This window comes from Homo sapiens, chromosome 14 (assembly GCF_000001405.40).
Source record: "Homo sapiens chromosome 14, GRCh38.p14 Primary Assembly".
In the NCBI taxonomy this organism is placed as follows: Eukaryota; Metazoa; Chordata; class Mammalia; order Primates; family Hominidae; genus Homo; species Homo sapiens.
In genome coordinates this window covers 59215311-59230283 of record NC_000014.9, presented here as the reverse complement: position 1 = coordinate 59230283, position 14973 = coordinate 59215311, and the positions used below count along the sequence as shown (strand labels likewise).

The following is a 14973-nucleotide window of genomic DNA, read 5'->3' as shown; positions in this document are numbered from 1 at the left end:
CGGCTGCAGTGTTTGCTTCCAGTTACAGGAGTCTCTGTGCTGCCCCAATCAGACTTCCAAGTAACAAAGGCTACTGGGAGTCTAGTTCCATTGCAGCCACCTGAGGGGACCCATTTGTAAGGAAGTGGTAAGAGGCACACCCAGGTACCTGCTGTTTCACAAAGAGAAATGACGGATCTGTTGTGTGGTTTGTCTCAACTACATCACAGCTGAAATTCAATTTGCAAGGGTAAGAGAGTTAATAGTGGGCCTTAAATTTAAAATCAGCTAAGGTTTATGCTGGTAGGTTGACAGTGCTAAATTTATTTACCCTTATCACTGTTCCATTATCTCAAACATTCTACTATTAAGATGGGTGGTGGTGGGAGAAGCTTATTTGGCATTCACTTCAACCTGGTGAACAGTTATTTATAGACAGGAAAATAGCCATGGCCACCTATCAGGATGGAAACCACCAGCCAGAGCCATGCCTTCACTGAAGTGCCTCTGAGGGCTTGCTAAAAGCAGAAACTAACCCACAAGGTGGGATTAAGCCTCCTTCTACTTAATTTCAACCAAGAAGTTTAATCAACCAGGTTTTACACTACTTTATTTACTGTTACCATGTTTTTGGAACTTAGAACTCCACTGTTGGCCATCTCTTAGGAAGTAAAGAAAGAAGAAATCTTCCTACTGGATTTACTTCAAAAATGAGAGTAGAATAAATACACAAAGGGCCAGGACAGATAGTAAGTCAGTGTGGGTCTTCATTTTAATCTTGTTTGTATGTTTATTCTTGGTTTTACCTACACCTTCTCTGAAGAGCAATGTGAAGTGAATTTATAAATCAAGGGTATTATATAGGCTTTTAAAACATATCAGTATGTCATAAAGACGAATTAGTAAATACCTGACATGCAATGCTACATCATTTAGGGTGATGCTTAGGGTTAAATCCTTGCACGATGAAGTTACAGTTTAGGACTAAAGAGGTAACAACTCACAAAAATCAAAAGCCAAATGACACACTGGTCTCAAGGAAGATCTCCTCTAACCATAATGAAAAACACACTACAAAATGCATCATTCGCTCAATGAAAAGTGGGAGTGTCTTTGGTAAAAACATACTAAATCAAAATATCTTCCACTGCTGACATGTAGGGCTGGGCAAAATGGCACACATGGAAGAAACACCCTGCGAGGAGTCTTCAAAATCAGCCCATTAAATGCTTTTTAGTTTTAATACTTGCTTGCTAATCAGAACTACAATATTCATAACCAAATCCTCATTAAAAGGAATTTGTTAGACTATTTCTCTAACATTTTCTAAATACAATGTAACTTTTAAAAGTCAATCAAAAATTGAAGTGTTTTAGAACTCAGGGAAAAGACGGAAACAGAGTATCCATTCTACCAATGGACTGCCACTAGAATCCAGGTGAAATAAATTATTTAAAACCATAGCTAAGTCCAAAACAAAGTAACCTTTTGATCTACAACACTTGGGGGAAAGGCAGAGGGAAAAGGTAGGCAAGGAAAATACATGATTTATTCAGATTATAAGTGGACATGTGGACTGAGTGTGCTGGCCTCCAGGTGGTTCTGAGTGGAGAATAAGAAAAAGCCATCAAGCACAGAACACACAAATACGACTCTCTGGCCCTGAGGGAAAAGAATCTGAGTGATGAAACCCAAATATATGAGTGAAATCTAAAAATAGCCCTGTTTCTACAGAGGTATTTTCCTTTTAACATTCATTCGAAATGTGTGGGAAGACAAAGCAGTTGGAGTTAAGTGAATTTCCAGATTTCATTAAAAGTCAAGTGATACTCCGAACCATTTTCAACCAATAGTAAAAATACAATTTCCCCTTCCTTTAGTTTTTTTTCTTGGAAGTTGGGGAGCGGAGGAGGGAGACACAATACTGGGCAAGAGTATCATTTCTAAATTTTCTGAGAAGCTGATATTACCTATAGGTTACACATCTTTAACATCTAACTTATGTCATGGGAAACCATTAGATCCTTGGAACTTTGTCAGTGAAAACCACCGTAATTATTTTTTTCCATAAAGAAAGATGAATAGAGAATGACAGAATGTTGACACTGTGATTACATTTTCCCATCATGCCACAAATTTAAAAGATTTCATTATTACAGCCTATGATTTTTTTTCTTCCCTTAAGATTTAGAAGAAAAAAAAAGTGGTAAGAAAAAACAACTTGTGGGTTGAAACATGTAATTCCAGGACTTCTTCAAAAAAGTTCAAAGGGTTTCTACTAGTAACCAAGTTCTATGCTCTAAGTTGTCTTTACTTGCAGGTAAACCTTTTCTAGAAGACTCCTGCCTCAACTGTTTCGGTGTGTGGCAGAGATACAAACTGGTAGCAATGACTAGGGGTAAGAAATCCCCGCGTCTCACTGGGATAGCCTGCCTGTGGAACAAGGAGTACCATTCATTCATTAGTCCTGGGTGCCCCTATGGGTGCTCTATGAACTCAAACACATTTGGACTACGTGTCCTCTGTGTGCCCAGCACTGATGGAAACACAACCTATCCCTACCCTCAAAAGAATCAAGTTTAGTGAAAGGGCTTACAATGTGAACAGCTTCTCCTAATCATGTTCTGGAGCACCAGATCTGGTCTGGAAAACTGGAAAAAGTGGAACAAGCACGAGGTGACACATAATCGAGATAATGAGACATGGGGAGAATCCAAGCCTATATGTGAATCCTCCCATTTTTCTGCATATTTTATGCAGCACAAGATAAATACTATAGGAATATTAGGTGTTGGAACAAATTAAACTTGCAAATCATACTTCTAGTACCTGGCCATCCCAAACAAGTCCTTCAGGACCTTCACACAAACACAGGTCTCACAATCTCATGGCCGTCTCAGTGAAACTACGTAAGATAACAAGAAGGTGACCTACATAGTCAGTCTGTAATGGGGAACCAGAGACTTTTCCCCTCCTATTCCCTGAAAGCATACTTTCAGGAGTAAGGGGCAAAGAAAAGGAAATGAAAAGGTACACCACACCATCCTTGTTCACACCATCCTTGTTCACATGTAAGCCTATTTCTGTACACAAGTCACTTTATGAAAGCACCAACAGTATTTGTAAGGGAGTCTGTAAAGAACCAGAAGCTTAAACTGGAATGTAAAAGACGCACTTTAAAGGTATACCATATAATCATTTTATTCTGGGCAACTCAATATTTTAATTCAAAACAGTCAGTTTTACTGGAAATTCTACAGATGTATGCTAGGCATTTTAATTAAAGTAGAAAACAAGGTGGGGGAAAAATCTGACAAACAGAGACATGGAAAGGTGGAACTATAACTTGTACAACTCCAGAGGCACTATTCATGCTGCACTTCATGTGACTGGAGTTGGGCAATGCCAACCTATGTAGCCATCCACAGGACTTTAAAATAGTACAGGGATGCTACTTAGTGTCCCAGTCCATTCCCAGGTTCTAATGAAAGGGCCCTCCTATTGCATTTGCAGGGTAAATGTTTCCCAATCTAGTGATGATCCTTCCCTTTTCCATCTTTCTAAACTTCTACTTCAGCAAAAATGAAAAGGCAGCTTAACCCATGCTAGTGAATAAGCACGTTAAATTGCTTCTAGTTTCAGACAACTGAGAATCCTACTGAAATCTGTTGTTGTTTTTGCCTGCCTAGCATACAGAGATTGACTTTACAAGGAATGACCCACCTCCATTCCCTGCACTCTTGGTATCATGTCAGGCCCATCCCACCCCCAATCCTGCTAGAAATGTGATGCTGAGCAGACCTAAGATGTGAGAAATTGACTTTCTTCCTGGAACCCTAAATGCCCAAAGTCTCCTATGCTTTCCAGTCTTCCTTACAGATACAAAGACTGCCCCATATTCTTCTGCTATGTACGTGTGTGTGTGTGTGTTTGTCTTAAATTTAGTTTCTCTTGCTTGCAACCAAAATAATTCTGATATATCAACTAAAAGGAAAAGAACAAAGAAATATCCCCTTTGGTGCTACTTGGTGCCTTCTCTATGCTCTTACAGAGGTACAAACCAAGTCAGTAAACAGAGCAATATACTAAGGAAGTAGGTATCTGTTCAATATCCCTCCATCAAGCTGAAAGTCCCAGGGGATATTCTACCAAATGCATTCCAGTGAAAAGTATCCTAAGTTCCAGTCTGAAACTACTTGAAAATAATAAGAGGTCTCAGGTTGACTACTCAAATATAAAAAAAAAAATTATCATCAGGCAACTGAAACACATTTCGAGTATATGTTGCATTAGACTCCTTAGAGTTGTTCTTAGTTGCCCCAATGTCGTAGGGCTTGAGTTTCTTGCCACATTAGTAAGAGGGTTCAATTAATATATATATCAATTCATAGATATACATGGGCAACATATTATTTTTAATAGCATGATCTTACATTTTATAGTGCTATGCAAAGTGATTCCATGTACTATTTCTCCTTCGATCTTCGCAAGCACCCTCTCAGTAGTCAGGGACAACAGGCATCTTAATACTTTACAAAAAAGGAAACTAGATCAAACCTTGCCCAGAATCTGTACCAGCAGGGCTAAAGCTGGCCCAAGGACAGCCTCAAATCAAGATCTCTGTCCGCCAGATCTCTGTGAGCACTCTACTGCACCACCCTGACAAATCCAGAATCCCAGAGCCCACATTGTACCTAGCCTCAGGTGTCCTCACCAGCTAATGGAAGAAGTGGTACTAAACAAATTCATGGAGTAGGATGGAGGAGAGGCAAATCAAAGGCACAGAAAGAGGAGGCTCAAGTCCCAACTTGCTTTAGACAGGGAAACACTTGCTTCAGTGTTGCCTCACTAATCACATTTATTTTTGGCTTCATTGTGAGAGCTATTAACTATCAACAACAGATTCATAGTCTTAGGCAATTAAGGCTGCTACAACAAATTACCTTAGACTGGGTAACTTTTTAAAAACACAAATTTATGGTTGGGCACGGTGGCTTATGCCTGTAATCCCAGCACTTTGGGAGGCAGAGGTGGGCAGATCACAAGGTCAAGAGATTGAGACCATTCTGTCCAACATGGTGAAACCCCGTCTCCACTAAAAATACAAAAATTAGCTGGGCCTGGTGGCGCATGCCTGTAGTCCCAGCTACTCGGGAGGCTGAGGCAGAAGAATCACTTGAACCCAGGAGGCAGAGGTTGCAGTGGGCCGAGATTATGCCACTGCACTCCAGCCTGGTAACAGAAGGAGACTCCGTCTCAAAAAAAAAAAAAAAAAAAAAAAAAAACCCACACAGATTTATTTCTTACAGTCCTAGAGGTTGTAGAGGTTGGGAAGTGTGAGGTGAAGGTGCCAGCATACTCGATGTCTGGTATGGGGCTGCTTTCTGGTTCATGGAATGGTGCCTTCGCACCGTTCCCTCACACAGTGGAAGGAGCAAGGAAGTACACTAATCCCATTCATGAGGGCAGAGCCATCATGACCCAATGACCTCCTAAAGACACCACCTTCTAATAGCACCACCTTGGTGATTAAGATTTAACATACAGATTTGGGAAAACAAATTCAGACCATGGCATTCTGCCCCTGCCCCTCCAAAATTCATGTTTTTCTCACGTGCAAAATACATTAATTCCACCTCAATAGCCCCAAAAGTCTTAACTCAATCCAGTACCAACTCAAACGTTTAAAGTCCATAGTCTCATCTAAATGCCATCTAAATCAGATATAGGGAAGACTCAAATGTATGATTCATCTGAGGCAAATTCCCTTCCAGCTGTAAGCCTGTGAAATCAAACAAGTTACGTGCTTCCAAAGTATTACAGTGGGAAAGGCCAAATGGACATTAGAACTGCCTCTACCTAGGAAAACAGTAAATCCAAAGCAATACTGCATTCCTAGAGGGTTTACAGAGATGTGCCACCATCAAGGATTTGAAAGTTGCAGGGGTGATGATTCCCACCATATCTTCCAATTCAGCTCTCCCATTTGACCTGTGCAGAAGACAAATGGATCTTGGAAAAGGACAGTGGACTATCATAAGCTTAACAAACCAGTGATTCCAATTGCAGCTGCTGTACCAGATGGGGTCTCATTGCTTAAGCAAATCAGCATATCACCTGGTACCTGGTATGCTGCTGTTGATCTAGCAAATGCCCTTTTCTCCATACCTGTCCACAAGGCCAGCCAAAATCAGTTTGCTGTCACCTGACAAGGCCAACAATATAACTTTTACCATGCTGCCTCAGAGGTACATCAACTTTCCAGCCCCACATCATAATTTAGTGTGAAGGGATCTTGATCACCTTTCCCTTCCACAAGACATCACACTGGACCATTACACTGATGACATTATGCTGACTGAATCTAGTGAGTGAGAAGCAGCAACTACTCCAGACTTACTGGTAAGACATTTGTGTGTTAAGAGTGCAGGAAACAAATCTGATAAAATGCAGGTCTTCCATCTCAGTGAAATGCCTATGGGTCCAGAGGTGTGGGGCATGTTAAGACATCCCTTCCAAGATGAAGTACAAGTTGTTATATTTGGCCCCTCCTACCATCAAAAAGTGCAATGACTAGTGGACCCATCTGGATTTTGGAGGCAACATATTCTGCATTTGGGCGTGTTACTCTAGCCCACTTACTGAGTGACCCAAAGAGCTGCTAGTTTTGAATGAGGCCCAGAATGGGATAAAGCTCTGCAATAGATCCAGGCTTCCGTGCAAGTTGCTCTTCCACTGGGGCCATATGATCCAGCAGATTCCAACATTGCCTGAAGTGTCTATCAGTGGCAGACATAGATGCCATTTAGACTCTTCAGCAGGATCCTACAAATGAATTGCAGCACCGGCTTTTAGGATTTTACAATAAGGTGTTGCCATCACCTACAGATGGCTACCCTCCTTCTGAGAGACAGCTCTTGGGCTGGGCCTTGGTAGAAAATGAGCACTTAATCATGGGCTACCAAGTTACCATATGACCCAAACTGCCCATCATGAATTGGGTATTATATGATCAACCAAGCCACAAAGCTGGGCATGCACAGCAGCACTCCATCATCAAATGGAAGTGGTATATACACGATCAGGCGAAAGCAGATCCTGAAGGCACAAGTAAGTTAAATGTCATCATGGCTCAAATGCCCACAGTCCCCACTCCTGCTACACTGTCTTCTCTAGTCCCAGCCTGCACCTATGGCCTCATGGGCAATTCCCTACAATCAGCTGACACAGGAAGAGAAGACTTGGGCCTAGTTTGCAGATGATTCTGCACTACATGCAGGCACCACCTGAAAGTGGACAGTTGCAGTATTATAGCCGTTCCCTGTGACATCCTCAAAGGACAGTGGTGAAGGGAAATCCTCCCAGTGGGCAGAACTTCAGCAGTCCACCTGGTTGTGCACTTTGCTTGAAAGAAGAAATGGCCAGACATGCAATTATATACCCAATTCATGGGCTGTAGCCAATGGCATGGCTGGATGTCCACAGACATGATTGGAAAATCGGTCACAAAGAAATCTGGGGGAGAAGTATGTTGACAGACCATTCTGAATGGGCTAAAAACATGAAGATATTAGTTTCCTATGTGAATGCTTACCAAAGAGTAACCTTCAGCAGAGGAGGATTTCAAGTGGATAGAATGACCTATTCTATGGATGCCAGTCAGCCTCTTTTCCCAGCCACTTGTCATCGCCCAGTGGCTCATGAACAAAGTGGCTATGGTGGCAGGGATGGAGGTTAGGCATGGGCTCAGCAACACAGACTTCAACTCGCCAAGGCTGACCTGGCTACAGCCACTGCTGAGTGCCCAATCTGCCAGCAGCAAAGACCAACACTGAGCCCCCTTTATGGCACCATTCCCCAGGGTCATCAGCCAGCTAACTGGTGGCAGGTTGATTACACTGGACCTCTTCCATCAAGGAAGGCACAGTGTTTTATCCTTACTGGAATGGACATTGACTCTGGAGATGAATTCGCCTTTCCTGCATGCAATGCCTCTGCCAAAATCACCAACCATGGACTTCCAGAATGCCCTATTCACCATCATAGTGAATAAGAAGCATTGCTTCTGACCAAGCAACTCACTTCACAGACCACAAAATGAGGAAAGGGGCCCGAACTCACGGAATTCAATAGTCTTACCATGTTCCCTACCATCATAAAGCACCATCCTGAAGTAGCTGATTTGATTGTACAATGGAACAACCTTCTGAAGACTCAGTTACATGCTACGTAGCTGACAACACCTTGCAGGGCTTGGAGCAAGGTTAGCCAGAAGACTGTATATGCTCTGAATCAGCATCTGCTATATGGTAGTGCTTCTCTGACAGCCAAGATTCACAGGTATAGGAATCAGGAGTGGAAATGGGAGTGGGTGGCACCACTCACCATTACGCCTAGTGGGTCACTGGCAAAATGTTTGCTTCCTATTCCCACAACTTTATGCTCTGCTGGCCTTAGTTCCAGAGGGAAGAATGCTTCCAGCAGGAGACACAACAATAATTCCATTGAAATGCAAGTTAAGGACATCAGGCCACTTTGGGCTCCTCATGCCTCTGAGTCAGCAGGACAAGAAAGGAGTTACAGTGTTGGCTGGAGTGACCCATCCAGATTACCAAGAAGAAACTGGACTACTATTCCACAGTGGAGGTAAGGAAAAGTATGTCTGGAATACAAGAGATCGTTTAGAGCTTCTCTTAGTATTACCATGCCCAGCAACTAAGGCCAATGAAAAATGACAACAACCCAATCCAGGCAGAACTGCCAATGATCCAGACCCTTCAGAAATGAAGGTTTAAGCCACCCGACCAGATAAAGAATCATAACCAGCTGAAGGCAAAGGGAATACAGAATGAGTAGTAGGAAAGCTAGTTATGATACCATCTGTGACCATGTGACCAGTTACAGAAAGGAAGATTGTAATTACCATGAGTATTTCCTCCCTATTTTGTTATGAATACGTTTGTGTGTATATAAACATATATTAAGTAAATATCCTTGTTTTCCTTCCTCTCTTATTCCCTTATCACACAAGATGTTAATGACTTTATGTCAGTATTTCAGTAATGATAATTTTCTATACTATTTAAGTTACAGAGTCTCAGGAGAGGAGTAAACATCACTCAAGGACTTCACCTCCACTTCCAGAGAAGGGATAAGTGCACTTTCAGTTGTACACAGGATCATTGTACCTTGATAGGTGGAATTATGACCTTGTCATTGTCTTTATTTGGAGGTTAGGTATGGTTTAAGGGGATGTGTATGGATGTTAAGTTGACAAGGTAGACTTGTGTAATTTGACTGGGTTAAAGGGTACCCAGATAGCTGGTAGAACATTATTTGTGGGTGTGTCTGTGAGAGTGTTTCTAGAAGAGATTAGCATTTAATCTGTAGATTCAGGAAAGATCCTCTCTCACCAATGTGCGTGGGCATCATCCAATCGGTTTAGGGCCCAGGTAGAACAAAAAGGCAGAGGAAGGGTGAATTCACTCTCCTAGAGCTGAAACATCTATCCTCTCCTTCCATTGCACACTGGAGATCCCCTAGTTCTTAGGTCTTTGGCTCTGGTACTCACACCAGCAGTAAGTCATCCCCATCCCCCTCTGCCAGCACCACCATTGGCTATTGGCTCTCCTGGTCCTCAGGCCTTTAGACCCAGCTAAATTACACCATCACCTTCCCTAGTTCTCCAGCTTGCAGATGGCAGATGGCGGGACTCCTTGGCCTTCCTACAATAAATCCCCTTGACAGATTTCCTATTGGTCCTGTTTCCTTGAGAAAACAAAGACTAATAAAGTAAGTATTGTTGGGGCAATAATTGTGGCTATTGAGGAAACCATGTCATAAGCCAGTTCATTCTTCAAAACTAGGCAAAACTTATTTCTAATACAGAATATTTAACTTCTACCTCCCTTAAATGTTGGCAAAAATAAGACCAAACAACAATCCACTCAGCAAACATAGAGCATGTTTGCTCTAGAGTTAATCCATGTGCCACTTATAGGTTAAGTATAGGTAACAAAGTAAAACATATCACCCTTGCCTTTTAGGAGCTTAAAGTTTAATTAAGTTCCATTACACCTGAGAATAGAGCCGCCAATTCTCTGACTTCTGTGTATCTCTTCCTTTATCATTCTATTTCCTGCCAGAAGCTTCTGGCAAAACAAAATCTTGGGATGAGAGACCTTGAAATTTGGTCAAATGCTTAAAATCAAGAACTGAAACCAAAACAACACTTTTCACTGTAGTTCAGTGACAGGCAATGGATGCCATCCTGGAAAAAAAAAATCTGTATTTTTCGAAACCAATAGCTACATCCATAGCAGGAACCACTCTTGAATTCAAACATAATCTATAGCTGGCACCCAGACAAGGTAAATGTGAGCCTTTGGAGCAAGATGTTGGACCACAGCTAAGAATGAATAAAGGCATGTCCAGAAGTGGCACCAAAGTCCTCAAGGCAAAGGAGCAGACACCAAAGGGATATTAGACAAGCAGGATCCTACAGTAAGAAGACAAGAAATAAGGAAAGGCTGAAGGACTCAAAACACAGGTTGGCCAAGCTCATGTTCAAATCAAGTATTGCATGTTTATATGATGTTTATGAACATATGAAAGACACTGGCACTAAGTCTTGACTATACCTAAGATCCAATTCTAGAAAGCAGAAATTCCAGTTTTCTAGACTTTACTCTTGGAGGAAAGAGTACCGTATAATAGTCTACATACAAATTTACCATGGACTAAGAAAAAAGCACCACCAATTATAAGCAGATATGAAACAGAATAAATAATATAAAGGAAAGAATGTATAAGCCATCTCTTGAAGTGCTATGCCAAGAATAAAAAGTGTTCTTGCTATACCCAGAAGAAACCAGGGAACAAGAATCAGGATACTGACTACAGCATGCCGATGTCCCCCCAGAGGTTTATGCACAAGTCCTGGCTAATCATCATAGAGTAAGTTTTCCTAGCCCTCGAGAAAAGACTATTTAAAAAAAAGAAAAAACCCCACACAATTTTACCTACAAAGTTTCTGAGGATAGGCTGGTGATGGGGTGGTGGTGGAAGGTAGTAAGTTCCTCTTCAGTATTACACACTGGCTGTAGAACAGGCTTAAGTTTGGGGAAGACTTTAGATAAAATTTCAGTGTAGACACCATCACCACCAAATGCCAACATTAGAAAGAACACAGGTATACATTCCCAAGGCATTGAGAATTATTCAAGTTAATGGAAATGAAAGAAACAATGCTCACATAAACTAGAAAGGGTCTTTCCAATAACTGCCACTCCTCTGTCCTTTTACCTGAAACTTCCTAGAGCACTAACAGGTTATGTGTCCGTCATATGGCTTGTAATACAGTCCCAGCCCTTGCATATCAGTCATATAAAAACATTAATAGCTTGGCAGTCATGTGTGGAGGGCCGGGGGAAGGGAATATTTGTGCTCCATTCTTGTATTTATAAATTTATAACTTGTGAATTCAAATTTCAGGGTAAAGATAGCTAACAAATGCCGAGACTTAAAAATATCTCCAAAGAATCAGAAACCAACAGACAGACATTAAAGCCAAAATAAACTCTAGCTCCCCCAAAGGACAAAGCCTACATAAGATGAAACTCATACATGTGTGTGCCATCAGAAAATAATAGTGATAATCTAATCTTAGTGTAATTTTAATTTATCTTGATTTCACTCTTGGACATGGAAGTATCAGTTCTAATGTCAAGGAATGGTAGATAATAACTATTTACATATTGTTTCAGATTATTTAACTTGCATTTGAATATGAGCAAGTCTTATTACTGAATATTCACACCCCTTTAGAAACAAATGAAATCACAGCAAGGAAACACTACTCAGAGAAAATTGGAGCAAAATGGCACATCTATTTATCTCTCTCTAGGCTAGGAACAGGCAACAGCAATTTTCCAGTACCTGAACTCATCTAAGCAAAGCTTCTGTTTTGCTGTGATTAATGTCTTGCTTGGACCCTCTGGGGCAGAAAAAAGTTTACAGTCAGCATTGTCCAGTAAAAGTTTCTGTGATGATGGCAATGTTTTATCCCTGCACCATCTACTACAGTAGCCACTAGCCTGCACGTGGCTAGTGAGCACATATGAGATGGCTAGTTTGACGGAGGAAATTAATCTTGAATTTTTTTCTTTTTTTGGAGATGAGATCTTCCTCTGTCACCCAGGCTGAAGTACAGTGGCCCAATCATAGTTCACTGCAGCCTCCAACTCCTGGGCCCAAGTGATGCTCCTTCCTCAGCCTCCCAAATAGCTGGGACTACATGCACATGCCAGTATACCTGATCCTTTTTTTTTTTTTTGAGACAGAGTCGCTCTGTCGCCCAGGCTGGAGTGCAGTGGCGTGCAACCTCCGCCTCCTGGGTTCAAGTGATTTTCCTGCCTCAGTCTCCCAAGTAGCTGGGACTACAGGTGCCCACCACCACGCCCGGCTAATTTTTGTTTTTGTTTTTTGGGTTTTTTTTAGTACAGACAGAGTTTCACCATATTGGCCAGGCTGGTCTCAAACTCCTGACCTTGTGATCCGCCCGCCTTGGCCTCTCAAAGTGCTGGGATTACAGGCATGAGCCACTGTGCCTGGCTCATTTTTGTACTTTTTTGTAGCGACAGGGTCTCACTATTTTGCCCAGGTTGGCCTCGAACTTCTGGCCTCAAGCAATCCTCCTTCCTCGGCCTCCCAAAGTGCTGAGATTACAGGCATGAGCCACCATGCCTAGCCCTTAACTTTAATTAATTATAATTTAAATAGCTACATATTGCTAATCAATACCATAACAGCAGCATAGACATGTTATATCTTAAAAAATCAAATGTCAAACTTTTACCAACTCTGGTTACACCACACTGATATAATCAGAAGCCCATCTACAGTGAAAATCTCAAAAGACACAAAAGGAAGATTTTCAGTAGTAAAATTGTAATGCAGACACAGTACTCAAGTTGAAGGTGGGTACATGAAGTGTTATGGTGATGGTGCTTGATAAATTCTAAATCCTTACTGCCCTTAAGAAATCAGTCACAGACACACACACAGGGAGCAGTCCTGAGGTTTGGCAGGACAAGCAGGCTGCCTCTCCAAGCCCACTGTGGTCAGCAACAAAAAAGGCCCAGATTCAGACTAGGAAGAGCCAGGTTACCCTACCTCACCCCTGCCTCCATGAAAACCAGCCCATTTCAGACAGTTTCTTTTTCTCCCAAGACCAGGTCAAACACAATGCAAGACAAACAAACGTGGATCAAATATCTGTTTTAAAAAACTAAAAACTGCTGGAAACTCCTATATTGGGGTGTTTGGGGAGGTATTGTCTCTCAACTTTCAAGCATCGCTGGGCTACAAACAAGTAAAAAAAAAAAAACTATATAGACATACACATAGTATATACTTAAAATTCAATTCTTTATAGTTCCAATTGAGGTAACTAAGCCAAACACCTTAATTACTACAGAAATCACACAAACGGTTAGTCAACAGGAAACACATCAAGTGTTACTCTAATCTTAAAGAATTCCAATACTTCATGGTGATATGAAATTGACTTTTTTTTTTTTCTTTTGAGACAGAGTCTCGCTCTCTCCCTCAGGCTGGAGTGTAGTGGTGCAATATCAGCTCACTGCAACCTCTGCCTCCCAGTTCAAGCTATTCTCCGGCCTCAGCCTCCCAAATACCTGGGATTACAGGCACATGCCACCACGAGCAACTAGTTTTTGTACTTTTAGTAGAGAAGAGCTTTCACCATGTTGGCCAGGCTGGTCTCGAACTCCTGACTTCCAGTGATTCACCTGCCTCGGCCTCCCAAAGTGCTGGTATTACAGGCATGAGCCACTGCGTCCTGCCTGAAATTGACTCTTGCAATTGATTAAAATCCTTTTTTTGCCTACTCTATGAAATACAGACAATGTGCATGAGTATAATAAACAGGCAGCTGTCCAAAAATATCACACACACACACTCAAAGTCATTTTAATAAAAGCATGATATTGACTTGACAGAAATACAGAAATAACACAGTACATTGAAAAACTGTGCCTGAGACAGGCAGCATTAATGGAGAGGAGGTCAGAATGCAGGGTCCTCTCCTCATGTGAGTAAGGCATTTTAGGGAGGGACCCTGGGAAGTCAGAGGAGGTATGGCTGGACAAGACTCAAGGAAGAGAAAATCAGCTCAAACAGGGCTGGGAGGCCCTGGGGACCTCACCTTCTAGACTCCACCTGTGTGTAGCAAACTCCACCCACAAGAAGAGTGACTGGGTCTGCAAGGTGCATGAATGGAATGGAAATCTACCCTCGCAAACAAGCCTGTCATTCATATGGTCCCGCTCAGCAAGAATAAAAATGAGAGGAACGTGAGAAAGGCTGTCCTAAGAGGCTGACCTCTCATGCTATAGTGTCATTTCAGCAGGCAAATAATCAAATTGCTTACTGTCAATATATGACCCAAAGCAATCAATTGTAGCGAGAAGGCACTTGGAGTTATCAATTTATGTAACAAAAATGACATTCCTTGGTGTTTCCTTCCTTATCTACCTCAACCCCCACCCTAGCCTACTCCCCGCGGCTGTCACACAGGGCAAAGGAGCTGGGATTTTGCCTTTGGCTGGTGTACTGGGACATTTCCAGAGCCACCGGACTTGCCTGCTTACTACTGTGGTGGATTATGAAAGGCCTTGTTATCCTGAGCTCCGACAGGGCAAATGCAAACACTTCGGCCTGGTGCAGGCCTTTAACAAGCCTGCAGCGGCTGCCGCCTGCAGAAAGCATGGTCGGTGGCAAGCTTGCCAACAGCCCAAGCCAGCTGACCAGCATCCAGCCACCACTTCTTTTCCAAACACTGACTGAACAAGCCTTGATTCAGCTCTTATGTTACACTCTGGTGAAGAACAGTGCAGAAGCACCAAGAGAATCATTTGAAAGGAACTATTCTGGGCATACACCAAGCACATGTTCCCATGGAATTGTTAATAA

General features: G+C 42.1%; 1 protein-coding gene across 4 annotated transcripts in view, besides 1 other annotated feature; it reads right to left on the bottom strand.

Moving 5' to 3' along the window:
* Positions 1-14973, bottom strand: part of DAAM1 (dishevelled associated activator of morphogenesis 1) — a 182739-nt gene that overhangs the window by 141122 nt on the left and 26644 nt on the right. The gene's annotated exons all lie outside the window — the stretch shown is intronic.
* Positions 9599-9893: a silencer, noted in NCBI's record as "tiled region #14842; HepG2 Repressive non-DNase unmatched - State 7:EnhWF". NCBI's record gives its function as "represses a minimal TATA promoter and a strong SV40 promoter by Sharpr-MPRA in HepG2 cells {active_cell/tissue: HepG2}" and the evidence as "EXISTENCE:reporter gene assay evidence [ECO:0000049][PMID:27701403]".